This window comes from Homo sapiens, chromosome 20 (assembly GCF_000001405.40).
Source record: "Homo sapiens chromosome 20, GRCh38.p14 Primary Assembly".
In the NCBI taxonomy this organism is placed as follows: domain Eukaryota; kingdom Metazoa; phylum Chordata; class Mammalia; order Primates; family Hominidae; genus Homo; species Homo sapiens.
In genome coordinates, this window is record NC_000020.11 from 56,055,990 (window position 1) to 56,063,903 (window position 7,914).

A 7,914-nucleotide genomic window follows, 5' to 3' on the forward strand; every position below is an offset into this window, starting at 1 on the left:
CATATATCGCAGAACTTAAAGTATAATAATAAAAAAAGGTACTAAGAAAAAAAAAGAAAATGGAAAGATGATACAAAAATTCATAAGATGGTTATGCTTTTTTCCCCCACCAGCTATACATATCATCAATGTAGATAAAAACAAACTTACTTTTTAGAAGAGGTCTCCTAAAATGAAAGAAGAAAGCCAGAGATTTCAAAGATTTTAATCACACTTGTTGATTTGGAGGTCACTACACAGATTACAAAGGAAATCAGGAAACAGTTGTAAAGTGTGAACCAATGAATGAAACTCCTTTAGAATGTGGGCAAGGCTGGCTTCCTGGCAGGTGACCCATGCAGTCACCCAGGGTCCTACATTTAGAAGAGCCCTGTATTAGGCTTAATGCTCAGCTGTCGCTGTCTTGAAATTCTTAATAATTTTTGAACAAAGGGCTGTGCATTTTGATTTTGTACTGAGCTTCACAATTATGTAGCCAAACATGAATGTATAAATTGCTAAATATAATTCAATTCTAATCTCCTTGTTGCAATTTGATGAAAGTTATTGTGGGACTGTTTTTATTCATTTATTCATTCATGTTTGTTTGTTTGTTTTTGAAATGGAGTCTCGCTCTGTCGCCCAGGTTGGACATTTATTTAATGCTTATGATATTCATTCATGGATTAACTCCCATAATCCCTACACCTGCTCAACCACAGAGGGCATGAGGTGGTTAATATAGAGACAGAAACATCTGTGAGACAGGTCCTCTGCCCTGCTTCTCAGCTTCACAGTTTAGAAGCAACTCTACCAGTGGCTTGCGAAGAAGGATGAACGAATGACTCTCAGAAGCAAAAGCGAGTCAGAGACTGTGAAGAACATAGACTTTAGCCGTCATGGACCTTGTTTTGGATGCTTCCTCCATGTACCAGATCGTGACTCTAGGATAATTACTTTAACCTCTCTGTGACTCAGTTTCTTCATCTGTAAAGTTAGCATGATCTTAGCTGCTTTTTAAGTTTGTTGTGAAGATTATTTGAAATAAAATGTAGAAAATACTTGCTAGGGACCTGCACATAGTGTTTAGTTATTAACACTTCTATAAAGTCATAGAAATGTACTTTCCCTCTTGTCTGTAATTGCACTCTAGGGATTTTTTTTCCTAAGGGAAAAAAAAAGAATAAAACTACAGGCACAAAGATATTCCTTGGAGGATCATCCAAGGAATTTATTTTATTTTTAGAAAAGGATTAAAGATGCTTGTTATCTATAATAGCAAATAACTGGAAACAACCTAATTGCCCAACAGTAATGTAATATTGAAGGTAATTATGGAACATCAATATGATAGAATATTATGACGACACTAAAAACAATAATTATGGAAACAGCATAGTGACATGGAAATGGGTTTTAGTAGAATGTTATACAAGAGAAATAGAATGCAAAATGCCATGTCTGCTCCATGACAATAGGGACTATGTCAGTCTCTTTCACCACTATATAGCCAGCACCTAGTAAAGAATAAGCACTGGGCAAATATGTACTGAATGGAATATAAAAACATGTGGACCAGACTTGAAAAGTGACATGCAAATGTATGAAAATGGTACTGATGGCATTAAAGCAAGTTTTGTTTGTTTCTGTTGTTAAAAATAAAGGAGACAAGAAAGGGATGAAGCAAGGAATCAAAAAGAGTAGAAGGAAAGAAGGGAGAAAGGAAAAGAGGGAGGGAATGAGGGAGGTAAGGAAGCAGAACAAACCTAAAGCTCTTCTGTTTATGACATTGAAAGCTATGCTAACGTAATGGTTAAAAACCTAGACCTTCTCACACCTGTAATCCCAGCACTTTGGGAGGCCGAGGTGGGTGGATCACGAGGTCAGGAGATCGAGACCATCCTGGCTAACGCAGTGAAACCCTGTCTCTACTAAAAATACAAAAAATTAGCCGGGTGTAGTGGCAGGTGCCTGTAGTCCCAGCTACTCAGGAGGCTGAAGCAGGAGAATGGAGTGAACCCAGGAGGTGGAGCTTGCAGTGAGCCGAGATTGCGCCACTGCACTCCAACCTGGGCGACAGAGCAAGACTCCGTCTCAAAAAAAAAAAAAAAAAAAACCTGGACCTTAGAATCGCAGGAACTTACATTTGAATCTCAGATCCTACCCCTGCCCTTTGCCTAACTGGACAAGTTGGACAAGGTCAGTAACTTCTCTTAAATCTAATGCACAGATTTTAAATAGAGCCACTAACAGTACCAACCTCTTGGGAACACCATGGAGATAATTTATGCAAAGCACCCTGAATGACACATAATAGACAAGCAATCATATTCATTGCTTTTACCATTACCATTAACATCATTTTATAATCATAAAAAAATCTGAGCTGCTAACCTGTAGCAGAGAAAACAAATGATGATAAAACTGTCCAACCAGACCCCCAGAAAAGTGTCCTACAATATCACCAGGGGACATTGGTGCTGACCAACTGTCCTGAGCTCCTTAGAGGGATCCAAGAGAGAGGCATAGACAATTCCTCCAGTTTAAGGGATCTTGTTTCTCACAGATTCACTGAACCAAGGCATTCTCTCATCAAAAATTTTCTTGCACAGACCAACAGCAATGGCTTCATCCATAGAAATAATTAACATGCTTCTGGCAGCCTTTATTGATATTCGGTTTACAAAGCAGTGACCTAGAGATACGGCATCTCTTGCAGATTAATGGCTCACAAGGGTCATTACTGGTGCAAAGACACTTCCAGGGGTTACTGTTTCCTTCCAACTGGTTGTTAGCCCAGTTTCAACTACCAAATGCTTCATGCACACAAGGGTCTCCATTAGCAGTTGGGAAATGCATGCAGGAGCAAGATTTGCCTTCATACACTGCAGTTTGCATTTTTCTAAGCAAAGAGAAGGGGACTTAGTATTGAAATCAAATGTATAGTTATGCTGGAAATCTTCACAAAAAAAATCCTCTTCTGCATATAGCCAGTACAAGGTCTGTGTCACCACAGTTGGGATGGCTTGCTGCTCTCCCCAAAGCCATTCCCTGTTTCTTGTCTATAACAGAACACCTATTATATTCTGAGTGAAATTGTGCCCAGTCAAAAGACGACATTCCCCAGCTCTCCTTGTAGCTAGGATGGCTCCAGACCTTGTAAGATATCTGGGAAAGCCCTTCTTGCCATCTTGCCATCTTCCTTCCTGGCATGGTAACATGATAGCTGGAGTGCCCACAGGCAGCCTATGGCCTTAGGACATATTAAAGATGGTAGAGTCAAAAGCTGAAGGATCCAGGGTGCCTGCTGACTTCTGGAAGCTGCTACATTAACCCTAATCTGCTTACCTCCTATCCTTTTTCATATGAGGGAGGAAAAAAAAACTTTCAACAACTGTGCAGGGCTCAATGTCACCTTACTTGCAAGACAACAAGTGAGCCTGCCACGGTTTCAAGGATTCTGGCCGAAGACATGAGATTCCCAAGTCCGAGACTGAAGAGTTTATTACTCACAGCATAGCAAGCAGCATGAGCCCCGTGGTCGGGTCAGCTGCCCATTACCTCCCAGGTCCCAGGAGCCAATGAGGAGCAGCCATAGGGATTCTGTGCCTACCCAGCCTTGCCTCACAGCTGAGGAACCAACCACTTAGGAAACCCTGATTTTTTATAATGCGCTGTGAGCAAATGTGTCCAACCTTTACCTTGTAAGAACACACTATCTTTATTATACTACACAGCAAACAAGTCTATTCTCTGCCTCAGAGGGAGCCACTATCTCTATCTTCTAAAGCTGTTTGCAACAAATATTCTGGAGACAACACTCCAGAACAAAAGCTGCCAGTGCCTCTGCTCACAGAACGTGGGAAACGACCTCCCAACATCGTCTCCTTTGTGTAAGCCACTGTTATTTCCTGTCTACGTTGTTGACTGCAGAGTGAAATCCTCGCCAGTTTTTCCAATGGCTGGACCTTCTTGTCGTTTGCCTTGACACATAATAGAATCTCTGTCATGTGGCTCTGTAATAGATTCAGAGGCCACATAAGGTAGAAAAAAAACCAGGTTAACTCTGGAACCAAATTTCTGATTCGAGTCCCACTTCTCATTAGCTGTGTGACTTAAACAAGTTACTTAACTTCTCTGAGCTTGGTATTCTTATCTAAAAATTTGGAATAATAAAAGTAGCTACCTTATGGTACTGGTGAGGATCAACTGGGTTAATACACATAAAGCACCTACATAGTAGCTGGCACAGTCATATGTGAGCTGTGAGTAGAGAACTGTGCGGTGATCACAAGCACAACTTGGGAATTCTACAAACCTGAGTCTGAATCCCAGCTGCACCACTTATGAGCTAAAGGAGTGGGTGAGCATCTTAACCACTTCCCAGTACATTTATCTGTGACCCAGCATGCTGCCCTCAGAGAGCAAAAAGGTTAATGCTTATAGAATGTTTAGTACCATCCCTGGAACCACCGAAAACTCAGCAAAACAGCTATTGTTATTGCTATTAGTGTTCATTCTTGTGTTAGATTTAAAACTTGTTCTTTAATCGTTTTGAGACACCAGAAGACCCATGGACTTCTTACTCGCCACATGAATATTTTTAGTCAAATATTATTAAATTTCTCTGATTGCAGACCCCTTTAATCTTTTGGTTTCATTTTGACAGAGGTCATCTGGGGTCACCTCAACCTCATCAAATTCTTAGTCAATTCAATTGCATCATAGAAAAACACAAGTTCTTAGAGATAACCATTTTTATGCCTCTGAATCAGTGAAAAAGAATTTGGTCTTTCTTCTTTGAAAATGTCTCTGAACTCCATTTGTTCTAAATAATACTTTATGAGAAAGATCCAAGTGCTAACTGAAAGCATTTCATTCCCCATATAGTTAATAAAAATGAGATCTGGAATTTCTCATCTACACTAAAATCCTCCAATGCTATGCACATTTTAAAGATGAATCTAATGTATTGAAACAATTTCAGAAATTTGAAAGTTTAAAGATTTTATAGATTTTCTTAAAGATTGATTTGAATTATTTTTAAAATACATTTACTAGAATGTCACTATAGAAATTTCTTTATTTCATCACAGCTTTTTGACAGCTGAGAAAGGTCTCCTTCATATTTCTAAATTAGATCCTGTAATAAATGCACAGTCTTGACTTGAGACAGGTTTATTACATGACCAAAACCCCCAGCAGTAAGCTTATAATTAAGCGGTAATATTAATAGACAGTCAGCTTGGGCATGTGTTCCAATAATGTACAAAGCTCTGAAAAGAGCTGAACATTAGGCAATAGAAGGATTTTCCCCTTTATTAAAGTGTTTGGAATGATGTTTCATTCTAGCACGCTCCTACAAGTGCATCTCTACTCTTCATAACTTTTTCTCAAATTCACCAAAATAAATATTGGCCTATTTCTGCTAATATATTTTTCAACTCAAAAAATGGAACAGAAAACAATTCTGAAGAAATAGTCTCAAGAACTTTAAGGGCTATCATTATTGAGCCAGCAAGTCCAAATAGCAGACATTACACCAGAGTCAGACACAATACAACAAGCATTTATTGAAGAGTTACAAGAAGTTCACCCTTCATCATCTGGCAAACTTCTATTCATTCTCCAAAGAGGTTCAGGTATCCTCCCCTCTAGGAAGCCTTCCCTGATTTCCTTTAGCCCACAGTGAAATAGGCATAGGCATCCCCCCGTGTCATCTCACAGTTCCCTAAGCACATCTTGATCATTGTGTTTATCCTTCCACTTTGGTGTAATTTTTTCAAAGATTTAGTATTACTATTAGTGAATAATACTAATGTTGGCTTAGAACATAGCAGGTCCTCATGTAGGTGCTGTGACAATACAGGTTTTAAAGAATTGAAAACCTCTGGCTGGACTAATCAATAAAAAGAGAGAAGTCACAAATTTCTGATATTACAAATGAAATAGGTGGCGTCGCTACAGTACTTAAAGAGATGTTTTTAAAGTAATATTTTGAGCAATATGGTGCCATTAAATTTAACAAATTAGATAAAATGAACAAATTATTTGAAAGATACAAACACCAAAACTCAAGAAGAAAGTGACAACCTGAATAGCCCTATAACCCTACATCAATTAATGTTAAATTCATAGGTTAAAACTTTCCCACAAAGAAAACTCTAGGCCAGGTGGCTTCACTGGTAAATTCTATACGCTCTTCACAAAACATGAGGTGAGGTGACACACCCCAAATGATTTAAGAAAACCAGCATTACTCTGTTAACAAAACCAGTGAAGATATTGTTTTAAAAAGAAAACTACCATGAGCATGCATACCTCATGTACATGGATGTAACAAGTAACAAGTAGCAAAATCTAAAAACAGAATCCAACAACATGTAAGCCATGTAGAGTTCATCCCAATAATGTAAGGTTGTTTTAACTTTTGAAAAGCAATCAATGTAATTCAATGTATTAACAGGCTGAAGATGAAAAACATGATCATCTCAAAAGATACAGAAAAAGTGGCAAAATTCCACACCTCTTCACAATTAAAACTTTCAACAAATTAGGAATAGACAGCATCTGGTTGTAGATGTGTGGTGTTATTTCTGAGGCCTCTGTTCTGTTCCATTGGTCTATATACCTTTTTTGGTACCAGTACCATGATGTTTTGGTTACTGTAGCCTTTTATTATAGTTTGAAGTCAGGTAGCATGATGCCTCCAGCTTTGTTCTTTTTGCTTACGATTTTCTTGGCTATATGGGCTCTTTTTTGGTTCCGTATGAAGTTTAAAGTAGTTGTTTCTAATTCTGTGAAGAAAGTCAATGGTAGCTTGATGTGGATAGCATTGAATCCATAAATTACTTTGGCTAGTATGGCCATTTTCACGATATTGATTCTTCCTATCCATGAGCATCGAATGTTTTTCCATTTGTTTGTGTCCTCTCTTATTTCCTTGAGCAGTGGTTTGTAGTTCTCCTTGAAGAGGTCCTTCACATCCGTTGTAAGTTGTATTACCTAGGTATTTTATTGTCTTTGTAGCAATTGTGAATGAGAGTTCACTCGTGATTTGGCTCTCTGTTGTCTGTTATTGGTGTATAGGAATGCTTGTGATTTTTGCACATTGATTTTGTATCCTGAGACTTTGCTGAAGCTGCTTAACAGCTTAAGGAGATTTTGGGCTGAGACGATGGGGTTTTCTAAATATACAATCATGTCATCTGCAAACAGAGACAATTTGATGACAAACCTGACAAAAACAACCAATAGAGAAAGGATTCCCTATTTAATAAATGGTGTTGGGAAAATTGGCTAGCCACATGCAGAAAACTGACACTGGACCCCTTCCTTACACCCTATACAAAAATTAACTCAAGATGGATTAAAGACTTAAATGTTAGACCTAAAACCTTAAAAACCCTAGAAGAAAACCTAGGCAATACCATTCAGGACATAGGCATGGGCAAAGACTTCATGACTAAAACACCAAAAGCAATGGCAACAAAAGCCAAAATTGACAAATGGAATCTAATTAAACTAAAGAGCTTCTGCACAGCAAAAGAAACTATCATCAGAGTGAACAGGCAACCTAAAGAATGGGAGAAAATTTTTGCAATCTGTCCATCTGATGAAGGGCTAATATCCGGAATCTACAAGGAAGTTAAACAAATTTACAAGAAAAAAGCAAACAACCTCATCAAAAAGTGAGTGAAGGATATGAACAGACACTTCTCAAAATAAGACATTTATGTGGCCAAAAAACATGAAAAAAAAGTTCATCATCTCTGATCATTAGAGAAATGCAATTCAAAACCACAGTGAGATACCATCTCACGCCAGTTAGAATGGCAATCATTAAAAAGTCATGAAACAACAGATGCTGGAGAAGATGTGGAGAAATAGGAATGCTTTTACACTGTTCATGGGAGTGTAAATTAGTTCAATCAT